This window comes from Homo sapiens, chromosome 5, assembly GCF_000001405.40.
Source record: "Homo sapiens chromosome 5, GRCh38.p14 Primary Assembly".
Classification (NCBI taxonomy): Eukaryota; Metazoa; Chordata; class Mammalia; order Primates; family Hominidae; genus Homo; species Homo sapiens.
Genome location: NC_000005.10, coordinates 91,212,957 through 91,239,538, shown reverse-complemented (window position 1 = coordinate 91,239,538; position 26,582 = coordinate 91,212,957). Strand labels below are relative to the sequence as shown.

At 40.6% G+C, this 26,582-nt stretch overlaps 2 long non-coding RNA genes across 2 annotated transcripts in view; both read left to right on the top strand.

Annotated features, from left to right (window-relative positions):
- Nucleotides 1-26,582, top strand: part of LOC107986432 (uncharacterized) — a 113,452-nt gene that overhangs the window by 25,735 nt on the left and 61,135 nt on the right. The gene's annotated exons all lie outside the window — the stretch shown is intronic.
- On the top strand, nt 761-2,756 carry LOC107986433 (uncharacterized). Its single transcript, XR_001742801.2, has 3 exons — nt 761-931; nt 1,524-1,782; nt 2,536-2,756. It is a non-coding gene; the product is annotated as an uncharacterized LOC107986433 (long non-coding RNA).

Below are 26,582 nucleotides of genomic sequence, written 5' to 3'. Positions count from 1 at the left end.
ATCGTATGAGATTTCAAAAATTATGATGTTATCAGTAATAATTTTGGTTATTATGTTCCAGTGTTGTACACCACAGAGAAAACCAAATTTCCTTATCAAGTGGGTCACTATGGACGCTCATCAGATTTTGAACCATGGCCATTTTATGTCTTGTTGCCTGCAGTTAATTGCTTTATTCGGATGCTTTTCTGAAAGCCTTTTGCAATCTTAAAGCATTGTATCTTCAAGGAGGTTCATGAAGAGAATGGAACGAATTCTGACAAGTACAGGTTTCTGATAACTGAGATATTATTAAACTGGGTAGGAATTTCTAAAACTCAAGTGAAAAAACTGATGGGGTTGGGTGTGGTGGCTCACACCTGTAATCCCAGCACTTTGGGAGGCTAAGGTGGGCCGATCACTTGAGGTCAGGAGTTCATGACCAGCTTGGATGGACAATATGGCGAAACCCCGTCTCCACTGAAAAAATACAAAAATTAGGCTGGTGTGGTAGCGCTGTAATCCCAGCTACTTGGGGAGTTGAGGCACAAGAATTGCTTGAACTCAGGAGGCAGAGGTTGCAGTAAGCCGAGATAGCACCACTGCACTCCAACCTGGGCAACAGAGAGACACTCTGTCTCAAAACAACAAAAACAACAATAACAACAAAACTGATGCGTTTGTGAAGCTGCTAACTAAGATTAAATAGAGCAAAAATTAATCACATTAGACTGAATGAACTGATGAAGAAAACGTATGAGGTTTCATGGCTTTTAAAAATTTGAGCCAATGCTGGTTCTTTTCATGTCTTGTTTTTCAAATTTAAGGAATTTCTTTTTCTTTTCAGCTATGTACAGCTTACAGCAATTTGATAAAGTATTCTTTTGTACATAAAAATGGAAACATTTGCTTTTCTTCCCTACTTGATCTCTCCAAAATTCAGAAACTATTAGTGAGTATTCTTATTTTTATGTTAAATATGAGTATTTACATAAGTTCAATAAGAATTTAACTGTATCCTTTAACAAGGTACAGTTGAAATATTGAATATATTACTGAGGCTTTGACTGGAATGTCATATTTGAAAATGAGCATAGAATGCCTGGCTTCAGGAGTTCCCAACCCTTCAGAGAGTGAATAAACAGTTATCACTTCTTGGCAGGCCAGAGAACTTCAAGATATTACATACTGTAGGCAAAGTCTGATATCTGCCTTGGTTTGACATCCTAGCATGAAGAGGTTTTTAAAAGTCCAATTTGAGTTTCCTTGTGAAAATTTACAGTAAAGCAAATTTAAAAGGAGTGAGCTTATGTGGCTATTCTTGCTGCACTTATGTAAATATCAGGCCAAGTTTGAGGCTAAACTTATTTTACAATCATATTGGTCTTACCATGATTATCTTTAATAAAAATGGGGGTAACTGTAGAGAGAAAAATTATGTTTCAGAAGAAAAGTACAGTACATCTGTTATTTGCTTGTAGCCCTATTTATTGCCTTTGAATTTTTATGATCTATCTGTAAACTGGATTCCAAATTCTTTCTAGTTTTCTCTAATATCTGGGTACAACTCTTCAACAAAGAATGAGAACTGCTCTGTTCCTGAAACCCTATAGCCAAAGTTTGACAATTCAATATACATTCCAAGGGACAAGTCTCATGCCTGATGTTTGAGCCACACAGATAGTTTGTGAGAATGTCTGATGCCACAACTGAAGATATTCAAACTGCAAATTAGGATAAGTCTCTGACTTCATGCTGTGGATAGCTTTTCACAAAACCAGAGGAATAAGACTCCATACCATAGTAAGACTCTTACCCTTCTTATTTTTCTTTAACAATTTTTTTCTTTTATATTTTGTAAAGATGGGGCCTCACCATGTTGCCCAGGCTGGTCTGAAATGCCTGAGCTCAGACAACTCTTACCCTTCTTAATTTTTGGTTATTTATGCTTATCTCTTCCACTTGACAGGATAATGCTGTAGTTAGAATTTCAGTCAGTAGTTTTTGTGAGTAACTTAACAAAGCATTGAATCTGTCACGTCAAATCCATTTTTTTAAAAGAAATGGGGTTTTGCTATGTTGCCCAGGCTGGAGTGCAGTGGCTATTCACAAGCATAATCATGGCACATTACAACCTTGAACTGGGTGCAAGCAATCCTTCCACCTCAGCCTCCTGAGTAGCTGGGAATTTAGGAATGTACCACCATGCCTGGCTCAAACCTAAACCTTTACAGGACTTAAGAGATCTTTGAATGTACCTAACGGGTAACATTAGCAACATTCCTAACACAATGTTTGTTCACATTGTACTAGTGGTCTCTTTTATAGAGTTAGTATTCTCTGCTTTAATTTGACATTTTCCTGTGTTGCTAGATGATAGAATTGCTGCCTACTATTTACTGAACAAGGAGGAATCTGTGCAGTTGACACTTCTTGTTGCACATAGATAAATACATAGGGTATTGTGGAGACAGTTGCAAAAACTTAACGATCAGCCTACTTGGTTAAAATGGGTAGATCCTCATCTGATTCATTCTTTGATCTATTCAATTTTAGGTGGTTCAATTCATCAAGACCCTGGCTTAGGAGCATACTCCAAACTCTTGGTAATATCTTCCTAATAGTCATACAAATAGTCTGCCTGGTGCATTATTTTTTCTTGAAAAGTTTTAACTTTTTGCACACAGCTATCTGTCAAATATCAAATGGTTTTCCTTCAGTGCAAAGAAATGCATTTTCATGAGAACACTGTAACCTACCAATGACATGTTGAGACTGGAAACCCAGAATGATGGTAACTAAGAGTAGTGTTAATACCTTTCGTTTTGATTTAAAATTTTTTTTTTAATTTTTTTTTTTTTTTGAGACGGAATCTCGCTCTTGTTGCCCAGGCTGGAGTGCAGTGGCATGATCTCAGCTCACTGCAGCCTCAGCCTCCCAGGTTCAAGTGTTCCTCCTGCCTCAGCCTCCCAAGTAGCTGAGATTACAGGCACCCGCCACCGTGCCTGGCTACTTTCTTGTATTTTTAGTAGAGATGGAGTTTCACCATGTTGGCCAGTCTGGTCTCTAACTCCTGACATCAGGTGATCTGCCTGTCTTGGCCTCCCAAAGTGCTGGGATTACAGGCATGAGCCACCGCACCTGGCCGATGCCTTTAGTTTTGATCACACTCTCACCTGGGTGAGAACCTCACCAAAAGAGGGAAGTTGTTAAACAAGCATTATAGGAGGCCATTAACTCCTGCACTAGGCCCCAGCAGATTAGACTAAAAACCACAAATGGAGTCACCCACACTCACCAAAATAAAACTGAGTTATTATCTGGTTTTCCAAGAAATCAAGAGGGAAAAATAGCTTAATTTTTCTAACAGGCCTGTTGCAATCTTCAATTGGCATGATAATGAAGTTCCTCTTGTTTTAATCCTTACATTAAGGAGTGATCTGAAGTAAACTGGTGTTAACCAATCAGTTATCTCTTTATTATTCTGTCTCCCTGTCCCTGTCTTACAAGGAAAGCAACTTTGAAATGATCAGTCTCTTTTTGTTCTTTATGTCAGTCTTCTTCAGCTCATTTTCTGTCTCTAAAGCCAACCTCCTCAGTCCAACTCATTGGAACACTTATTCTATTTTATGGGATGGAGTGTTGCCTGATTCTAGAATCACAACTAAGCCATTTGAAATCTTTAAACTTAATTTTTTATAATTTTATCTTCTGACACTACCTACTACTCTGTTCCTAGGCACACAGATCTCATGAAAGTTGTCTGTATGTGATTATCGATTTTTTTATTGCTCTGTCTGGCATATAGATATTATTTCTACCTAGTAGTTTTAGTGGCATTTGTTTCCCATGTAGTTTCTTCAGGAAGTTTATTTCCAGTATGTCCTTCATTTCTCTTCTTCATTGATCTTCCTTTAGCCTTTGTTTGCTCTATGAGAGGAATGTAGACTCTGGAACTAACAAAGGAAATACAAATGTACAAATAGTATTTCCAATACAAGAGTCCATGTGACCTTTAAGAAGAGTCCAAGCTCAATTGGCTGAAAAGTTTTCTGTGAGAAAAGCATTTTCCCAAGGTCAAGAGAGTTCAAAGAACACAGCAAACTTTGTGGAGCATGCCAATTAATTCTGTAGAAGTTGTTTTTGTGCGTGTGCAAAGACATAGGGGCTTGGCTGGTCATTCTGGTCTCCAGATGGTCACAGGATGCAGCCAGTAATGACCATGGAACATCCTGAAACTGATTATTAGTTTAATCAAGCAACACAGTCTCATTTGTTTGCTTGTACGAGAAAGTTTGACAAAAATTTTGACTATGTTCTCTGTCATCCCTACTACTACTCCACGCTAAGTGACTATCTTTTTCTGGCTGGATTATTGTAATGACTTCCTAACTAGTCACCTCTTTAACAATCTTGCTTCTCTGAAATCTATTCACACTGCAGCTGGAGAGGTCATTTTAAAATCTACATTGGATTTTGTCACTCCCAGCTTTAGAAATGTCCTTGGCTTCCCATGGTAGTTAGAATAGCATGGAAAAAGCTATACCATGGCCTGCAAGGTCCTGAATGACTGGGACCCCACCTCCCTTCTCCATTCTTCCACCATCCCTCAAGTTTCCAACAATCTTAGCTGGTTTCATGCCACTGTCCCTTTGGCCTAGTGCTCCACCCAGCCACAGAGCTTCTTGTGGTCCCTCAAAAGCCCAAACTCCTTCTTATCGTAGGGCTTTTCCATGTGCTCTTCTTTCTCCCTAAAACATGCTCCTCCTTCATAATTCAGTGCTACACATACTGTTTGGGGTATCTCTTTAAGGGTGGTAGCAGGCAGCTAGCAATGGTCACTTTTACCTGGCCAGGCTGGGAGTGCTCCATGAAGGAGGTGATTCTCAAGCTTGAAGTTGAGGAAGCATTCATAGGCAGACAAGTGGGACAAAAGTGTAATCTCAGCAGAGGGAACAGACTAGATTAAAATATGGAAGGCAAGAAACCATTGGGATAAAAGTAGTGATGACATTTGTTAAAATAAGGACAACAGACTGAGGAGGAATTTTTGAGAGAAAGATGAACTCTGCTTAGAATCTGTTGAGTTTAATTTATCTGGGACTTCAAGATGGAGAGAAGAATAGGCAATTGGATATGTGGGGAAGGATATGGACTAGTTATCTAAAAGGTAGAGAAGGACATGTAGATCTAAAAGTTACCAGCACAATTTCCCAGGGAAAAATTTTAGAGTAATAAAAAAAGAAACACCAACATTTAAAAAGCAGGCACCAGTAATGAAGACAAGAAATAGTCAGAAAAGTTGATGTCTCTGAAAGCGAGGAGGGGGAGAGTTTCAAGTTGTCCATAGCAAAAACATGGATAATTTAATGTAAGAACTAAAAGGACCTTAAGGGATTTGGCAATAGGAAAGTCGTGGATGAGCTTTGCCAGGGAAATGTGGGAAACTGAGATATAAGGAAAATAGGTGGAGACTGGGGAGAAACTGGAATATTAAGAAATGTAGCTGGAGATTGAAGACCATTCTTCTGCACAGTTTGGCTGTGAAAGAGGAAAGAGGGGGCAGAGGAACAGAGTAGTTCTTGTGAATCCCCGTGAAGTGGGTACACAACTATGAAGTGGATACAGAGTTGAGTTAGAGTGTTTTATTTGTATTTTTTAGATTAGATGAGGCTAATGGTTTTATAGACAGAAGGAAGGTAAGATTGAAATATAATATTTGAGAAAACAATTTATGAAACAAAATATTGCAAGAGAGGGTAGGGACTCTGCTTTTGAAACCAAGAAGAATTTAGTAGAGGAACAAACTCTGAGATGGGTAGAGAAGAGAAAAGAGTCATGGCCTGGTTATACAGCGGTTGACTGCAATTTTCTTCTGTGAGGTAGGAGCTGTGGCCACTGCTAAGAGGCTAGACAATGTGGTAAGTGGCTACCTCATCTCAGCAACTTAGCTGAGATACCTGTTGGTACAAAATCATAGTGGTTTTACATGTCAAGGGTTCATGGCTATGAGGACTGGACCTACATATAAAGTAAAATATTCGAGGCTGTGACCTTTCTGCAGATGTGTGCACACGGTCTGATCTGGTCTCTCCTGGCCCAGCAATAGGGATGCAAGGTCAGAGGAGAAGATTTGAAGGTCAAGGATGTGAAAGTAGCTGCAATAGCAGGTCAGATCCTCTCTGAATGTAAATGTCAGACCCTCACAGTGACTGACTCTCAGGCCTGGATACCACATTTTTCTTTTCAGTAGAGTGATTTAGGAATCAGTCACAGTTCTAGGGACTGTCTGATAATGCTTGCCTGTACCTCATATTTGAGCTAATAAACATTGTCAAATAACTGTTTGAGTGGAGTGAGAACTTTTAGGGTAGGATAATGCATATAATTGTCTATTATCATTATAAAAGGCCATGCTGCACCTGTACTTCTCACTGGGGAATAACAACTAAAACATGTGTTTTTAAAATATGTATCCAATGCATTTAGCATATGTTTATCAGGCATATTTGATTTAAATCAAGAGTTTAGGTGGAGTTAATTCTTCACTTCTTGTATCTGTAAACATTAAATTATCTCTTTCTCCTTGCAGCGGTACTAACACTGTCTTCAGTGTTTTGTAATCTCGGTTTTTGTTATTTTGGCTTTTTTTCTCTTGCCTCTAACTTTTTTGTCTTTGCTTATGTTTTTTCTGCTGAGTTAACAGCATCCCAGGCACAAAGTAAGCACCAGATAAATACCTGCTGATTGACTGACCCAAATCCCAAAGCAGGACGCTTTAGTCACAGGGTCGAATCAGGAAAATGATGTTGCCAATTTAAACCTGTCTTCCTGGTGGCTTCAAGCCACCCATTCATGGCTAAGTAGTGTGTGTGTGAGCAACTGCCTTGCAGCACTGCTCAAAGTGGCCATGCTATTGCTATTAGGACCATAGAGGGTAGAATTTACTAAAGTACAGAAACGTTTAGCTTGGGTTTTCTTTCTCTCTAGTTGCTAATCTTAATTAGACTGTCATCCTAAAAGATCACAGGTACATACCATTTTCATTTTTAAAAAAATACAGCTTCATTATCAGTAGCAAAAATTCTTAGGATGAGGCCCTGGGTTAAAGCTATAAACACATAAAGAAATTGTTCAAGGCAGCTATATTTGAACATCTATTTTTATAGCCCATTAAAAAGAATTTTGTAGGTGTTTCCATTGTAAGTAGTAAGGCGAGGTCTTTCTCTTTTTCACAAAGCCATGCCATCTATTGCTCTGCAGTGTTGTATTTTAAGCAGTGTCCAACTTAAAATGTTATTGATTTTCCTGGAAAGTTTTTATTGTTCTGATTAATTTGTACTTTTAAAACCTTTGCCTGTTGTTTCATGTGCAAAGGTTTTTTGAATTATGGATGAATAATGTCTGAAAGATCATAATTTCCCACAGGAATATGTCTATAATAGAGTGGCACACAAAAGAGAGAAGGTTCTTGTCCTCAGGGAATTTATCTTCCAGTCGGGAAAGATATAAAAAATAAGTAAAATGATAAATAAATAATTTTAAGTTGGGATAGCATTTGTAGAGTAGTCCCCCCTTATCCATGGGGGATAAGTTCCAAGACCCCAGTGGATGCCTGAAACTGCACAGTAATGGATCCTATATACACTGATATGGAATGGCTGTATCCCCAACCAAATATCATCTTGAATTGTAGCTCCCATAATCCCCATGGGTTGTGGGAGGGACCCGGTGGAGATAATTGAATCATGGAGGTTCAACACCATCCTGTTCTAGTGATAGTGAGTTAGTTCTCACGAGATCTGATGGTTTTATCTTTTATTTATTTGTTTATTTATCTATTTTTAGATGGAGTCTCACTCTGTTTCTCAGGCTGGAGGGCAGTGGCACGATCTCAGCTCACTGCAACCTCTGCTTCTTGGGTTCAAGCGAGTCTCCTGCCTCAGCCTCCTGAGTAGCTGGGATTACAGGCACCTGTCACCACGCTCGGCTAATTCTTGCATTTTTAGTAGAGATGTGGTTTCACCATGTTGGCCAGGCTGGTCTCGAACTCCTGACCTCAGGTAAACTGCCTGCCGCCTCAGCCTCCCAAAGTGTTGGGATTACAGGCATGAGTCATCGTGCGCAGCCATGAGATCTGATGGTTTTATAAGGGGCTTCCCCCTTTGCTGGGCACTCATTCTTCTCCTTCTTGTTGCCATGTGAGAAAGGAAATGTTTGCTTCCCTTTCTGCCATGATTGTAAGTTTCTGGAGGCCTCCCCAGTCCTGTGGAACTGTGAGTCAATCAATTTTCCTTATAAATTACCCAGTCTTGTGTATGTCCTTATAGCAGCATGAGAACAAACTAATACAGTAAATTTGTACTGCAGAGTAGGGTGCTGCTACAAAGATACCCAAAAATGTGGAAGCAACTTTCGAACTGGGTAACAGGCAGAGGTTGGAATAGTTTGGAGGGCTCAGAAGAAGACTGGAAGATGTAGGAAAGTTTGGAAATTCCTAGAGACTTTTTGAATGTCTTTGACTAAAATGCTGATAGTGATATGGACAATGAAGTCCAGGATAAGGTGGTCTCAGATGGAGATGGGGAACTTGTTGGGAACTGGAGTAAAGTTACTCTTGCTGTGAAAAGAGACTGAGGCATTTTGCCCCTGCCCTAGAGATCTGTGGAACTGTGAACTTGAGAGAGATGATTTATGATATCTGGCAGAAGAAATTTCTAAGTGGCAAAGCATTCAAGAGGAAGCAGAGCATAAAAGTTTGGAAAATTTGCAGCCTGACAATGCAACAGAAAAGAAAAACTTATTTTCTAGGGAGAAATTCAAGCCCAGGGCAGAAATTTGCATAAGTAATTAGGAGCTGAACGTTAATGGCCAACACACTGGGAAAGTGACTCCAGGGCATGTCAGAGAACTTCACCGCAGCCCCTCCTATCATAGGCCCGCAGGCTTCGGAGGAAAAATGGCCCTCTGGGCCTGGCCCAGTGCCCCCCTGCTGTGTACAGACTAGGGACTTGGTGCCCTGTGCTCTAGCCACTCCAGTCGTGGCTAAAAGAGGCTAGGGAACAGCTCAGGTCATGGCTTCAGAGGGTGCAAGCCCCAAGCCTTGGCAGCTTCCACATGGTGTTGAGTGTGCAGATGCACAGAAGTCAAGAACTGAGGTTTGGGAACCTCCACTTAGATTTCAGAGGATGTATGGAAACACCTGGATGTCCAGGCAGAAGTTTGCTGCAGGGACAGGGCCCTCATAGAGAACCTCTGCTAGGGCAATGTGAAAGGGGAATTGTGGGGATGGAGTCCTCACACAGAGTCCCCACTGGGGCACTGCCTAGTGGAGCTGTGAGAAGAGGGCCACTGTCCTCCAGATCCCAGAATGGTAGATCCGCCAACAGGACAGTTTGCAGAGTGCACCTGGAAAAGCTGCAGGCACTCAACACCAGCCCATGAAAGCAGCTGGGAGGAGGGCTGTACCCTCCAGGGCCACAGGGGCAGAGCTGCGCAAGGTCATGGGAGTCTACTTCTTGCATCAGTGTGACCTGGATGTGAGACATGGAGTCAAAGGAGATCATTTTGGAACTTTAAGGTTTAATGATTGCCCTATTGGATTTTGGACTTGGATGGGGCCTGTAGCCCCTTTGTTTTGGGCAATTTCTCCCATTTGGAATGGGTGTATTTACCCAATGCCTGTACCCTCATTGTATCTAGGAAGTAACTAGCTTACTTTTGAATGTACAGGCTCACAGGTAGAAGGGACTTGTCTCAGATGAGACTTGGGACTTGGACTTTTGGGCTAATGCTGGAATGAGTTAAGACTTTGAGGGACTGTTGGAAGGGCATGATTGTGTTTTGAATTGTGAAGACATGAGATTTCAGAGGGGCAAGGGGCAGAATAATATGGTTTGGCTGTGTCCAAACTCAAATCTCATCTTGAATGTAGTTCCCATAATCCCTATGTGTTGTAGGAGGGACCAGGTGGAGATAGTTAAATCATGGGGGTGGTTTCCCCCATCTTGTTCCCATGACAGTGAATTCGTTCTCACAAGATCTGATGGTTTTATAAGGGGTTTCCCCCTTTGCTAGGCACTCATTCTCCTTCCTGCTGCCATGTGAAGAAGGACATGTTTGCTTTCCCTTCTGACATGATTGTAAATTTCCTGAGCCCTCCCAAGCCCTGTGGAACTGTGAGTCAATTAAACCTCTTTTCTTTATAAAATGTATGTCCTTATAGCAGCATGAGAAAGGACTACTACATACACTATGTTTTTTTCCTATACAGTATCAAGCAGGTAGCATGTATAGTGTGAATATATCAGACAAAGGGATGATTCATGTCCAGATTCATGTCCAGGGCAGGACAGAGCAGGATGGTGCAAGATTTCATCATGCTACTCAGAATGGTGTGTAATTTAAAACTGATTAGTTGTCTATTTTTGGAATTTCCACTTAATATTTTTGGACCACTATTGACTGCAGATAACTGAAACTGGAAAGCAAAACAATGGATAAGGGGGGACTACTGTATTTGCTTTTTCTTCCCCATATGTTTCTGTCAGCCTTACCATTTATAGACTTATTAAATGTATTCTCCATCAAGAAGTACCATACAGTATAACTTCTAATTGAGAAAGTTAAAAATAAGAAAATGGATTAAAGTTGATGGGATTACTGACTTTACCATGTATCTCATGATACATGGTAGCAGTCTGCCTTATAAAACTATAAGATGGGATACCAAATATTCAACTATGATGCCAGCCAGAAGTTAACACGTTGTGCAGTTGGGGTGCTAGCATATGAAATATGGTATGTGGTCTGAAGCTGTGACAATTTTATGGTACCAATGCTTCCATGGCCTGAATGCATGAATTTAGCAATTAAGGGGCAGAACTGGAATGACACCTCTCATAAAATCACATAGTGGCTGAATCACAGAAGCTTGCATCACACTCCAGTCCCCCTGGGCTCTGCTGGTTTAGGGGGTCTTAGAGGCCAAAGGAGGGTTGCTTCCACAGGGTACCAAGTAAACACTGGCTTAATTGCATTGGAAACTGAGTTTGCCACTTTTTCGTTTCCAATTCTAAAACCACAGGATGAAAAGTCAAAAGAAGACTATGATATGACAGAAATGATGATTCTAGCTATAATGGGGAAACAGTGTTGCTATTATGCAATAGGATCAAGAAGGGTGTTGGTAGAAATCCAGCAATCCTCTGGGGTGCTTCTTAATACTGCCATGTCCAGCATCAAAAGTTAAAGGAAATCCACAGCAACCCAGTATGGGAAGAATGATCAAGGGACAGCTTTCTCAGGATCAAGGTATAGGTAAATCCTTGGTTGAGGGGAAAAGAAACTTGAAATTGATAATAGAGGAGTTGAGTCATCAGTGCAAATACAGCACCAAGACGAATTATAGAAATAAGACTGTAACACCTACCCATATTTTCTTTCATGTATATATGTATAAATCTTAACTGTTTTTCCTACCTTGTATCTCCGTTCTATTATTTCTTTATTAATAGTGGCTTTTACAAATTAGTCCATAGTTTACAGAATATTGAGACAATACCATGGCACAATTCCAGAATAATTGGATATCTTCCAGAATGCCTGAATTTTGATCTGGATGAAACTTCAACTGGTCCCTTTTATATGAGGAAGAATAGTTACTTTAAGTTAAGTAGGAACATTTTTTTTTCCTGGAACTTTAAGCATGGGGAGAAGCTTGTAAGTTGGTGTTGAGCTGCCGGAAGTTTGGCTTATAGTGGACATTCGTGATTCATTTTGACTGTATGGCAACCAAGTCCCATTCTATACTCTATTTGAGAATTCCTACTCATGAATCTTGGTGTGGGGCAAAAAGAGTCTATCGCTAATGAGGCTAACAATGCCAGACATTTAACAGCTTCTTTTGAAGACAGTTTATTGTCATGAGACTTAGTTAGGTTCAGAACTGGACTTTAAGGGTTAGTGATGGAAGAAATCAAGAACAGGGGTCTTTTTTCTTGTGACTATGGCAAAGACACCTATTAATATTACTTCCTTATAAACAATAAAGCTAAACTTAGTGTGAAACTTTCAGATTTTATCCTGAAATTGGGCTCTCCAGCCCTGCCAATGTGTTTACAAATTATTCACTATCCTTTTAATAAATTCCTTTCCTGCTTAACTCCAGCTAGAGTTGCTAGAAACCATGATATCAACTACCATAGCATTTGTTGAGGCATTTCCCAATATTTTACTACTGTTATGAATTCCTTTTTAAAAATTCTTTTTAAACAACCCCTTTACAAATATTTATTTTTAAAAGTCAGCCATGGACCTCGTACTTTAAAATATTTTAATATTAAGTAAAATGCATTCGTTAACATTACCACTTCTAGGAGCCCCAGGTTGAGGATCACCAGCATAAGATAAACCAAGCATATATTGTGCAGCAACATCTCATTAATTCAAATGAAATGGGAAAGATTGTCTATATCAATGTGAAATACTCACTTTTAAAACAATGAGGTTTTATTATTTCCAATTACTTACAGCAAGTAACTGCATCTAACTACCATCAAAGCATTACTAGAAATGTTAGAAATCTACTAGAAATAACTAGAAATCTGCCAAGCTAGATATATAGAGTACATGTTAGTATAATCAAGTTTTATTTTGTTGGAAGGGACCTGTATTATTCAGGATTCTTTCTGTTTCAAATAATTTTTAAAAACTGAACTCAAACTGGCTTAAAAATGAAAGGGAATGTCTTGACACACAGAACTTAAAAATCCAGAGGTTAATCTGGCTTCAGACATTATTAGATGTATGGGCTAAAAAAAGAGCCAGGACTCAGTCTCCCTCTCTCCACTGCTTGGCTATAGTTTCCTCTGTATTGGTGTCATTCTCAGGCAAGCCCTACCCGACTTGCTAGCAAGATAGTTGCCAGAAGTTCTGGGCCTACCTCTTACCCTTTCAGCAACCTGTAAAGGAAACGATTTCTTTTTCCCAATAGTTTCCTTAAAAGTCTTAGGACTGCTTCAAATTTTCCGAGCGTGGACCATGTGCCCTTTCTTGGCCAACGAGATAAAAGTCACTGAATGTCTATATAAGGATCAGATGCCCATTTCTGGAAGCTGAGGATGATTTTAGCTCTACCATACCTTGTAGAAATGGGGGAGAGGTGGTTCAACAAAGAACAATGGGATGCTGTTACCAGAAGAAGGAATAAGATGCTGGCCAGGTGAAAAGACCAATTTCACGAGAGAACCTTAAATTACCAGCGCCACCTGGTGCATCAAAACTCCTCTGAAGCCGGGCGCAGTGGTTCACACCTGTAATCTCAGCACTTTGGGTGGTTGAGGCAGGAGCATTGCTTGAGCCCAGGGGTTGGAGACCAGCCTGGGGAACATAGGGAGACCAACCCCTCCCCCTACCCCAACACACCTCTACAGAAGATTTAAAAATTAGCCAGGCATGGTGGTGCACGCCTGTCATCCCAGCTAACTGCAAGGCTGAGATTGGAGGATTGGTTGGGCCTGGGAGGCTGAGGCTGCAGTGAGCTGTGATTGTGCCACTGCACTCCATCCTGGGTGACAGAGTGAGACCCTGTCTCAAAAACAAACAAACAAACAAACAAACAAAATTCCTCTGTAACACTACTGATGGCTACTGAGCTTCTACTTGTATACTTCCCATACTGATATATTTTCTATTCTATTCAGCAACTTATTCTGTTGCCAGTAAGTGTTAAAGTTCTTCCTTATGTGGAATTAAAATTTGCTTCCTTGGATTTTAAAAACATCTATCTGTTTATGCTCTGCTCCGTGGAGTTCAGCACGTGCCCATTCCTACTTAAAAATGACACTCCTTACAGTGTTTGAAGTCAGATTTCATACAAATAATGCACCCCATTTCTCAAATGACTCTTTTTCTCCAGAACCTTTATTATCTTGGACACTTTTCCCCAAGACATTTTCTTGCTCATTGATGTTGCCATAAAATATACTTCTATAAAAGAACATACTTGGAAGATAAATAAAACAAGGAAATGAGAGTACACCATGAAATACAGAAATCATTTTGTTAACTGTGACCCATCTCTCTAAATGCAGCCTGATTTGGTTAGAAGAGCAATCCTTGGATTTGGAAGTAGATAAAATGCAATGTCCTGCTTTCTTTTTCTTTTTTCTTTTTTGTCTTGACTAGAGTGACTGTAGTCTGGTTTACCCAAGACAGTCTCAAATTATCCATTTTGGGCTAGTGTAATTATTATGGTGTCCCCCTTCTCTTTCAAAACCTTATTTTGGTCACGCTAGTCTTGAACCACTATCTGCATATACTGTTCATAGTTTGAGATAAATCATACCACAAGTTTTGGCTATGTGCCAGAGGTAGCAAAACCTACAACCTGTTCAGTTTTTGGATTTCATCCAGGTCAGATGTGCTGATTGAGTCAAGGAGTTTCCATGCTGGACAAGTATGTACTTTTGGTTGATCAGTGCTAGATAATAATGCTTCAAAACTTTGTCTAGGTAGTCTAATTATTCAGAGGACTGTGTGATATTTGTGACATTGCCAGATGGAGCACGTTCAAGGAGAAAGACAACTATGCAGCCACAAGAAACCCACACTATCACCTTGTGCTTGAGGAAATGGTGTTTTATCATCACGTTGTTAATCGATTGACAATACAATTACTTACAGTTCATTTATGCTGGAATAAATGTAATTACCGATATATTTAGGATTATGTCTATCAGTTTGTTATTTGTTTCCTATTTGTTCAAGCAGTTCTATGTTTCTTTAAAAATGTAAAGAAGACATGTTGATCCACTGATTAATGTTTCAATGGCCTTATTTTCTTGAATAGCTATTGGAGTGTTCAAAATAGAAATAGACCACATTCCAAACATGATGTATCACTATAGTGGTTTCAGAGCAAGGGCAGATTGAGTGAGCTATGTGTAAGGGTACCCAGAAAATTTATCACCAAGAATGAAACAATTTTGAGAGTGAGAGAGGGTGCTATTAATAATTATTCTGGAATGACAGGTGTAAACCAGGACAATTCCAGGCACACAAAGATGTATAGTGACCCTAAACAAACATGTATTTATTGTATAATTAATTGTTTCCTATTAGGGAGCTGTGCACAAGAATTCTGATCATGGAAGCTGGCGATAGGAAACTTGTTGTATTTGCTGTATTAAGTGTGTACCTTAAATAATAAACAAGTTCTATGATTAGGATTTGGTCCAAGCAAATTAAATGTCTAGAATTTACACATCCAGAAATTATACATGTACTGTATCATTTGTAGGCATCAAGATTAGTAAGTATTACATGAATCAGGTCTTAAATAGTTTGGGAAAAGTACAAGTTGTTTTGAGATACCTCAATCCTTCTTCATTCCCATTACTAATCATGAAAACAACACAAATGTTTTTGTTTTCTTCTTGACTTGGGTCACATTCCATTGTGGGGTGATGTAAGAGTTTTAGCCAAGCATAGAATAGTAATGAGCAATTTGGGAGATTCAGTTCTAAAACCTTGCCTAGGGTCACACACAACTAGCACTTAGAATCTAAGAACATGGAACCATTTGACTTGTAAGGTTAATTGTATACCTGTTGACTTTGGGCATATTTTCTAAGGTTAAACTGGAAAAACAAAGAGTCGGCTATGGTCCACTTGTTCAAGAAAAAAAAAATGCAAGCCCATGAGTCTTCTAGTATTTTTCCTATCCCATTGAAATATACAAGCGACCATAGGTTTCCTCTGCAAACAGCTGAGGCCTCTTGACTTCTGCTTCTAAGCCAGTAGTTTCCAGCTTGGATGCACATTAGAATCATCTAGGGGGACCCTAAGAAATCCTGATGTGGCCAGGCACAGTAGCACACGCCTGTAAATCCCAGCACTTTGAAAGGTCGAAGTGGGCAGATCACGAGGTCAAGAGTTTGAGACCATCCTGGCCAACATCGTGAAACGCCTTCTTTACTAAAAATACAAAAATTAGCTGGGTGTGGTGGCGCATGCCTGTAGGCTCAGCTACTCAGGAGGCTGAGGCAGGATAATCTCTTGAACCCGGGAGGCGGAGGTTGCAGTGAGCTGATATTGCGCCACTGCACTCCAGCCTGGCGACCGAGCGAGATTCCGTCTCAAAAAAAAAAAAAAAAAAAGTCCTGATGCATGAGCCATACCTCAGATCAATTAAATTATCATCTCTGGTGGTGGAACCTAGGCATCTGCATTTTTTAAACACTGGAGATAATTCCAATGTGCAGGCAAGGTTGAGAACCATTGTTGTAGTTTCAGCTCCATCCCCAGCTCTGCAACCATTAAGAGCTAATTTGAGGAGTTCTAGTCCAGTGCTGCAAGATGTCTGAAAGATTCAAAATCGAGTTACAAAGCTAGTCTGACTTACCAGTTCCAGTAACTAAATTTTTAAGAGTTACAGGCTAAAGTAAGAAAAAGAAGAATAATTGGATTTGGATTTAGCTAGGCTTTATTTTATTTTTTTTTTGACATCTTTTTTTGAGACAGAGTCTCACTCTATTGCCCAGGCTGGAGTGCAGTGGCATGATCTCAGCTCACTGCAATCTCTGCCTCCCGGGTTCAAGCGGTTCTCCTGCCTCAGCCTCCTGAGTAGCTGGGATTACAGGTGTGTGCCACCACACCTGGCTAATTTTTGTATTTTTAGTAGATATGGGGTTTCACCATGTTGGCCAGGCTGGTCTTGAACTCCTGATCTCAAGTGATCCACTCACCTCTGTCTCCCAAAGTGTTGAAATTACAGGTGTGAGCCACCACACCCGACATAGGTAGGCTTTATTTTTAAACCAGAATCACGAATTTAAATTAGCTGTATGGCCTTCGACAAGTTTACATATTCTCACTGAGCCTCAGCTTTCTGATCTGTAAAATGGACCAATAACATCTGTTGCCAGACTGCTACTATTGCTTTCCTTCTTAATGAAACCGAACCACTGCTTCCGTTTAACCTGGTTTTGGAAGCTCCCACTTCTAAAAACATCTGTATTTCTATCTTGATAACTTTATATTCTAGAACCTGGCCTCTGCCTTGTTGATGTGGATGCCTTCTCAATGACTGTAATCTCCTCTGACACCAATCCAATGGCGGGATTTGGCTATTGGCTGACAGATTTTCCTAATTCTATCTCTCCATGTACATGTACTTTTGCGTGCTGCCACTTCTGGATTTCCCATATTTGGGCTTCTGCCATTTGACCAATGGCTTGTCGAGAACTTCTTTTTTGGATATCACTGATACCTGTTGCCCGTAAGCACACATACTGTGCACCAAGTTCCATCAGCCTGACTAGATTTCCTCCTATCACCTCCAATTGTGCTATCACTCAAGTTCTACCTCAGCCCTAAGTAAAGTATTGTGTTTATTCAATCAATCAATGTTTACTGAGCATTTACCAAGCCCAAGCACTTTGTCTCTGCACACAGAAAATGTATACAGTACAGTGGAGCAAGATAAACAACAAAAGGTATAATAAATACAGTGACAGGGACAATTCTAGCCCTTGACCTTCCCTATATCCTCTTCTCTCATCAAAGATTAACACTTTTATATTGGTTTAGGTCAGAAGATAGGATCATTGTTAAAGACAAATTATTATTTTTATTATTATTATTCTTGTTACTTTGGAGATGGGGGTCTCACCTTGTTCCCCAGGCTGGCCTCAAACTGCTAGGCTCAAGCGATCCTCCCACTTCAGCCTCCTGAGTAGCTGGGATTATAGGTGCAACTGGCTTTTTTTTTTTTTTTTTTTCTTGAGATGGAGTCTCACTCTGTCACCCAGGCTGGAGTGCAGTGGTGCAATCTCAGCTCACTGCAACCTCCGCCTCGTGGGTTCACGTGATTCTCCTGCCTCAGCCTCCCCAGTAGCTGGGATTACAGGCACCCGCCAGCACGCCCAGCTAATTTTTGTATTTTTAGTAGAGACAGGGTTTCACCATGTTGGCCATGCTGGTCTCGAACTCCTGACCTCAAGTGATCCACCCACCTCGGCCTCCCAAAGTGCTGGGATTACAGGCATAAGCCACTGCGCCTGGCCTTGCTGTATTACTTTTAAAACGGTAAAACCCGCAATTCCTTTTGCATTAACCTAATGTGTTGGATACCTGTGTTTTGCTCTACATGATCACTGATTATTAATTTTTTTGATAATTTTTCAAAACTCATTTTTACAGCAAGCACACTGTCAAGTCTATGTTGGGATTATCTTTGTGTACCTAAAGTGAACTCCATGCTTTTCCTCAGGAACAATTTGATTTGCTGTGTGGAGAAAGTGTCCTCTGGCTCTCTAAGAGTTAACTGATCTGGCTCTACCTGATCTATCTGTGAATTTCTATAAATACTTTACAGGTATGTGAACAAACCAGTGTCAGATAGTAAAAGAATTTTGTAGCCATTCCAGCAATCTACTTTACGTGGCAATCAGTGACGATGTTATCTTAGCTGTCTTTTTTTTTTTTGACAGGGTCTCGCTCTGTCACCCTGTCTGAAGTGCAGTGGTGTAATTTCGGCTCACTGCAGCCTCGACCTCCTGGGCTCAAGCAGTCCTCCCACTTCAGCCTTCCTAGTAGCTGGGACTACAGGTGTGCACCACCACACTTGGCTAATTTTTGTATTTTTTGTACAGATGGGGTGTCGCTATGTTGTCCAGGCTGGTCTTTTTTTCTTTCTCTTTCTTTCTTTCTTTCTTTCTTTCTTTCTTTCTTTCTTTCTTTCTTTCTTTCTTTCTTTCTTTCTTTCTTTCTTTTTCTTTCTTTCTTTCTTTCTTTCTGAGACAGAGTCTCACTCTGTCACCCAGGCTGGAGTGCAGTGGCGTAATCTCGGCTCACTACAACCTCTGCCTCCCAGGTTCAAGCGATTCTCCTGCCTCAGCATCCCACGTAGCTGGGATTACAGCCACGCACCACCATGCCCGGCTAATTTTTGTATTTTTAGTAGAGACAGGGTTTTACCACGTTGTCCAGGCTGCTCTCAAACTCCTGACCTCAGGTGATCCACCCACCTTGGCCTCCCAAAGTGCTGGGATTACAGGTGTGAGCCACCGCGCCTGGCTCCAGGCTGGTCTTGAACTCCCAAGCTCAAGTGATCCTCCTGCCTTGGCCTCTCAAAGTGCTAGGATTATAGGCATGAACCTCTGTGTTCAGCCTTAGCTGTCTTTTTACTACCATCCCCAGCCTCTGCTTATCAGTTGTGAGTTTCCTCTGGCCTTTCTAATTCTCTTTCTCCATGTTTTCTGCCAGCTCCTTTATATTACCCACCAGAGGGATGAAAGCGATTGATTCTACCAGAAGCTATTGAGAAATGTATATGGCTTTTAGTAGTGGTGATGATGATGATGATGACGATTGTTTTGGCACTTTCAGAATTCAGAAGCAATTTGCTGCCTCCTGGGCACTCTACTCATGACCAGTTAACTTTAAAGTGGTCCTATTTGCTTTGTGGTGGTCGGGGCTGGCTTAGCAAAAATTACAAAGGAATAAAAAGCTAAATTTAGTAAGTCTATCTCTACTATGTTGTGTCTAATCTTCTTGTGCTGGTTTCCTAGAGTGCCCTCTGCTGGGCCCAACCAGGTCTTCTGATTCCCATGAAACCCATGCCTCAATTGTCATCAAAAGCTTACTATTTTATGTCACATGCCATCAGAATCCTAGCATTTGCTTTCCAGATTGACAATTAACCAAGGTAAACTAATCCATGTTAATGTGTGAATGTGTTTTATTGTATAAATGGGAAAAAACCCAATGCCCCTCTCAGGTCATTTAAGTATACATTTCCGCAATGACTTTATGGACGTACTGCTTCTACTTAGTATCTAACTCTGGTGACTAATGGTGAGAATGGAAGCCAGGAATCTGGGGAAGGCTATGCTCTGAGAAATCAAAGGGGAATATGTTTTCCAACAGACAGAACCTTGTGGCTCCCCTCAAATTACACTGTGTGGGCAGCTGTCTACTCAAGCTATCTGTATGGCCAAGCCCCATGGAGGTAATTTTCACCCTGTCAGCCAGAAAAGAATGAACATCATTGTTTACTTTTAAGTTTTTATGAAGAATGCCTTGAGCTCTTTAGATTGTGTTATCTAAGTCTTAATACTAAGTAAGTATGTGCCATTGTTTTGGGGATTAATTTATCCATAAAGATGTGTATAGGCTGTACAGTCATTGGCTTGACCTCTGCTGCCCTGTGTACTTTCTTGTCTACTGAAATCAGTTGGGCAATTCTTGTCTGTAAGCACGTTTCCCAAGAACTGGTTGGAGCCAGTCTTCATAGGAGGAACCTATTATGAAACCAGCTCCGAGGATATTTACTTTGCTCAAGATCTACTGAATGCTACACTTACTTGAAAATGAAATTGCTTTCTTTTGGCTCTGACCCAACCCCTTGAAAACCAGCGACCCTTGGGATTCAGTTAGAATGAGATAGAAAGGGGAGATGATATGCTGGGCCTGACTGACATTTTTCTGCAAGCTTTTCTTATCGTTTAAACTAGTACTTGCATAGTTGTTGAATGTGTGTGTTTCAAGAAGATCAGCTAAACTGATAACATATTATCAAGTAAATAAGGCACCCAAGATTGGGAACTTGGAGGACATAGCACATATTTTTTGAAGGCCCACCTTTTTTCTTAAAATTTAATGTAAATTTGTATCTTTCTATTTAACATATCCAGGTCTTATTTAAGACAAAAATAACTCATATAGTTGCTTTCCAGTTAAGTTATTTAATCATCCAAATCCTCACTTAAATAAATGCTCCAGTGAGAAACATTGTCTTATGGCTCCTGATCTAAAATTATACCTCCCTGGAAATGTATGTATCCAAATTTGAGAAGCACAAGCTTGGAGAAATAGTGAAGGAGAGAATTTAGTCAGAGAAAATGAGTGTGTACTGATGATCAATCCGTAGGTAAGGAGGACTAGCGTAAGTTTTGTTGTAGATGACTTTCATAGGAGAGTGGCAGTGGCATTTGATGTTGAGACCTAGTACATAGTTGTATTGAGATAAACATGTTAGGATTATCTAGATAGAGCTAGAAATGAAGAGAAAATAAACTCAGAATAGGGACTCATCAAGATGGCTGTGAAAAAGCCAGAAATGTGATAAACACTAATGCAGATTTCTTGGGCTCCTTACAGACTTAATAGGAATTGTGGATGCACAAAGTAAATGGTATGGCATGTAAATAAAGAAGAAAATTCTGCATATTACTTTTGGCATAATAGCAACTTCTCTGTACTTTCTGAAATTCAAAAATAAATATCCTTTTAATCTAGAGAGTGCTATATACTTTTTATAACTAGTGTTTTACATTTATTATCTATAATAAATATCTGTAATAATAATTATTTATAATAAATATTATCTATAATAGTTATTTATAAAATAATATATATTATCTATAATTATATAACATAATTATTTATAGGATTATTATTATAATATTTAATAAATATTATCTATTAATATCATAATTATATCTATAATTATTATTTCAAAAGTTTATTCAAAACTCAGAGTGAGTTTTCCAATACAGTCTTCTTAGCACTGAGATTTTCAAACCAGTCCCTAAGGTGTATTTAACACACAAGGCTTCTGGAATAGGTCTGGAGTAAGGGGCTTAGGTATCCACATTTTTAATGAACACACTTTGATGCAAGCGACCTGGACAACACCGTGAGAAACAGTGTTGTAAGAGGTTGAAAACTCTTGGGATAGGGGCTGGAGACTAAGGACACCACGCAAGAGCCTGGGACAAGGTTGCAAAGGGTTGTAGAACTAAATGAAGCTGCTTGTTTAGTCCGTAATTCCCCTTTCTGCTACTTGGTGTCTCTCCCAACTCCCCAACAAAAGTAGATACCTTGGCAGTTAGATGGAACTAACTGACCAGATCTCATGGAACCATGGTGGACACCTGATCTAGGCTAGGCCAACTAAATATTTCAACTTGAGAGTTTGGACCTGGGACAAGAATACCAGTTAACTACTGGTTGTTTGAAATGAAGAGATTCCCTGGAGCTACAGGAAGCCAGGCCTATCTCGCGAATGGACCGGCAGAGAACAGCACACATAGAGGAAGAAGGAAAAACACACAGGGAGAAGAGATGAGGAACCATGGGTTGGAGATGGGGAGGGAGAGGGAGAAGGAATAGATGAGGAAGGGAGAAATAGAGAAAACCAGCAAGAAAGCCAGAGGGAAAGAATTTTCCCTACAGCTTATCAATTTGCTGTTGTAGATACCAATCCCTCCTGTGGTCTGAGTGTGCTTTCTATAAGATATTTTTGTATCTGCCCAATAAACTCTTCTGTCTCACTCAAGCTAATTGAAATGTGTTCTTGGGTGAGAGGACAACCAGGAGTTAAGGAGAACCACAGCTATAATGAGCTGTGTCTTATTATTGTGACTGCTTTCTCCCTCCAATCTTTCTCCATTCTCTCTTCCCCCTTCCACCTTTCCTTCCACCTGGATTTCCTCAACCAAGATTGTTAGGGGAATGAAAAAATGATTTTTCATCTCTCCAAATCCTTGATCCTTTTCCTTTTCTGTGTTTAACTCCTTCCTTTTCTTCTTTGCAAAGAGGAAGAGAGCCTCCTTTCCTTTTATTATTTTTAAATTATTATTATTAATTAGTCAATTTTTTTAAAAATAGAGATGAGGTCTTGCTATGTTGACTAGGCTGACCTCGAACTCGTGGCCTCAAGCGATCCTCCCATCTCGGCCTCTCAAAGCCCTAGGATTACAAGCATGAGCCACTGTGCCTGGCCCCTCCTTTCCTTTTGCCATCCCTGCTCCTCTCTAAGTGTTATTCATCTCTACCCTAAATAAGAATGAGTGGCTGCCATGTGGAGGGAAGAGGAGGGAATTTCCAGGACCACTTGGGCACATGTAAGAAAGAGATTGCTCATATTAAAATGTAACACAGGGAGTATATTTATTTAAAATAGCCCATTTAACTAATGCCCAGTGAACTTAACCTTATGTAATGTTTTACCTGATGGAACACTTCTCTGGCTGGATCAGTTTCAGTTGTGCTAATTGGGCCTTTTTTTTGAGACAGAGAGTCTCACTCTGTCACCCAGGTGGGAGTGCAGTGGCATGATCTTTGCTCACCCCATTACCACTTCCTGGGTTCAAACCATTCTCATGCCTCAGCCTCCCAAGTAGCTGGGATTACAGGGGTGCACCACCACGCTTGGCTAATTTTTGTATTTTTAGTAGAGACGGAGTCTTCCCTTGTTGGCCAGGCTAGTCTCAAACTCCTGGCCTCAAGTGATCCACCCATTTTAACCTCCCAAAGTGCTGGGATTACAGACGTGAGCCTCCACGCCTGGCCCTAACTGGTCCTTTAAAAATTAGATGCTCTTCATTGAGCTGAAAGAAAAGAATTGCAGGTGAAGAATAAAGGTCTAGATCTGTGATTAACTTGAAATATAATAGTCATTACATAAAAGTTACATCTTTATATCATAAAAATATTTTATGTTGAAAGGGCTAAGCTAAAAATGCCCCAATTTAGGCTTAGGTTATTATTATTATTATTATTATTATTATTATTATTAGAGACGAAGTCTTGCTCTATCACCCAGGCTTCCAGGCTGGAGGGCAATGGCGTGATCTCTGCTCACTGCCCCCTCCGTCCCCCCAGTTCAAGCAGTTCTCCTGCCTGAGCCTCCCGAGTGGCTGGGATTACAGGCGCCTGCCACCACACCTGGCTAATTTTTGTATTTTTAGTAGAGATGGGGTTTCATCATGTTGGCCAGGCTGGTCTTGAACTCCTAACCTCATGATCCGCCCACCTTGGCCTCCCAAAGTGCTGGGATTACAGGCATGAGCCACACTGCACCTAGCCAGCTTGGTTATTTTTATGAAGACATGGATTGAGTTGTCATAAATCACCAGATCAAGGCAGACAGCATATTTGCCTTAAATGAACCTGTAGTGAGTTTCCTTCTTGCATTTGTATGAAGTTGGGAGAGATGTAGCTTAGTATGTATGGATGGACAGAAGAAAACTTTGATTCTCATTCAGCTCTGCTGCTCACTTGGCTAGCTACAGGAATTTCAATAAATCACAATTTCTCTGGGTCTAAATTTTCTTACTTTTATAAAATGTGAAATACTTTCTTCAAACATAGCAACAATATGTACATTAGATGAAAGGAGAGTGCCCTGATCAGGTGGGCTGCAGGTGGGCCAACTGTCCAGAATCTCTTTCCTCCCAGTCTCCTCCCCATTGCCCCACTACTCTACCCACCCACCACACATGCCTCTACCCTTCTGGACTTGAATGAACTCTCAGGGCTTTCCTGAGCACCCCTCGAAATCCCTACACTGAACAATTCCCACAATTGTTTCAAGCTCATTAATTTGATGCTTCTATGAAATTTTTGAGGAAAACTCTAAAGAAAATGAGAAAATACATCATTTGCTCCAATTAATGTTTTTGAAGGCTCTCTCATGACTATATTTATGATTCAAGGGGCAGATGATGTGAGAGATCAGATGATTATTGAAGCTGTCATTTTAATTGCTAGAAATCATTTTGTATATGTGTTTGTTAAAGCAAGAAGATCCCTCATGTCCCACATGTCTATATTTGCATTTTGATGGAACTTCAGGGAAAAGGAATGTGCTCATAATGAACAGTTGAAATTGACTTTTCAGTCAAAGCAAAGTACTGTAACTGGGGTTACAAATACGCCTCTTTTTCTAAGAGCTATCAGTTACGAAAGTAAATTCTTAGTATTACTGTTGTTTCACGTGGGGCCCGTGCCTTGGATGCCATGGCTGCCTTCCATCCCAACCTTCCTCTTCAGTCAGAATGCTGCCCTTTGGCAGAAAAGAGTCTAATTTGGATGACAAGATTCTTTTTAAGCTTTATCTCAAAGTAAGGACAAACAGGGAGGCTAATACATCTGAGCTTCATAACCCCCCCACTGTAGGTGGAGTTCTGTCCCTCAAAAATTCACATGCTGGAGTCCTAATCCCTAGCATCTCAGAATGTGACCTTATTTGGAAATAGGGTTGTTGCAGATGTAGTTGGCTAGATGAGGACCTACTGGAGTAGAGTGGGCCCGGATCCAATATGACTGGTATCCTTACAAAGGGGGAAATTTGGATACAGATATGCATATGGGGGAATGCCATATGAACATGAAGGCAGAGATTGGGGTGATATTGCAGAAGCCAAGGAACACCAAAGATTGCCAGAAAACCATCAGAAGCTAGGGGAGAGGCATGGGACAGATTCTCCCTCACAGCCCTCTGAAGGAACCAATCCTGCTGACACCTTGATCTTGGACTTCTAGCTTCTGGAACTGTGGGACAATGAATTTCTCCTACTTAAGCCACCTACTTTGCGGGACTTTGTTACAGTAGCCCTAGGAAACAAATACAACTACCATCATTATTAAATTTCCAGAGGGATGTGTTTTAATATGTTCTTACACTACTATAAAGATACTACCCTCAGACTGCATAATTTATAAACAAAAGATGTTTAATTGACTTACAGTTCTGCATGGCTGGGGAGGTCTCAGGAAACTTACAATCATGGCAGAAGGTGAAGGGGAAGCAAGGCATATCTTACATGGTGGCAGGAGGAGAGGGAGCGAAGGGAAGTGCCACACTTTTAAACCATCAGATCTCATGAGAACTCACTCATTATCATGAGAATAGCAAGGGAGAAATCCACCCCCATGATCCAATCATCCCCCACCAGGCCCCTCCTCCAACATGTGGGGATTACAATTCGAAATGAAATTTGAGGGGGACACAGAGACAAACCACATCAGGGTGATTTTTCCGTGTCAGTCACTTGAGTAAGGACTTTTGCTATGGTAGTACATGCCACCAATTACAACTTGTTTTATATTTCTTCCTTTAAAAACCTATTTTTATTTCATTGGGTATAGAAAAAAGAGAAGACTTTTTTTTAAGTGGATTTGGGAGTCTAAGTGCTCTTTAAAAGTTACTGGAGCCAGGCACGGTGGCTCACGCCTGTAATCCCAGCACTTTGGGAGGCCGAGGCGGGCGGATCACGAGGTCAGGAGATCGAGATCATCCTGGCTAACATGGTGAAACCCGTCTCTACTAAAAATACAAAAAATTAGCCGGGCGTGGTGGCGGGCACCTGTAGTCCCAGCTACTCGGGAGGCTGAGGCAGGAGAATGGCGTGAACCCGGGAGGCGAAGCTTGCAGTGAGCCGATTGTGCCACTGCACTCCAGCCTGGGTGACAGAGCAGGACTCTGTCTCAAACAAACAAACAAACAAAAACAAAACAAAACAACAACAACCAAAAAAACTACTGGAAGTGCTAAGTTAAAATATAAGATCTTTTATGAATCTTTTATGCTTTTCATTCACTCATTTGTTCAACAAATATGGGTCAGGTCCATGACAGGTACTGGCGATAGAGAGAGAAAAAGCAGAGCCTAGCTCCAGCAAAGACTAGATGTCTGTACATCACAGCATTTCCTCTTCTTCCTAGGTGGACAGCTTAACTACTTTTTCCAGTCCCTCTTATAATTGGGTGTGGCCATGTGACTTATGGGCAGTGGTCATGTGAGGCACCAG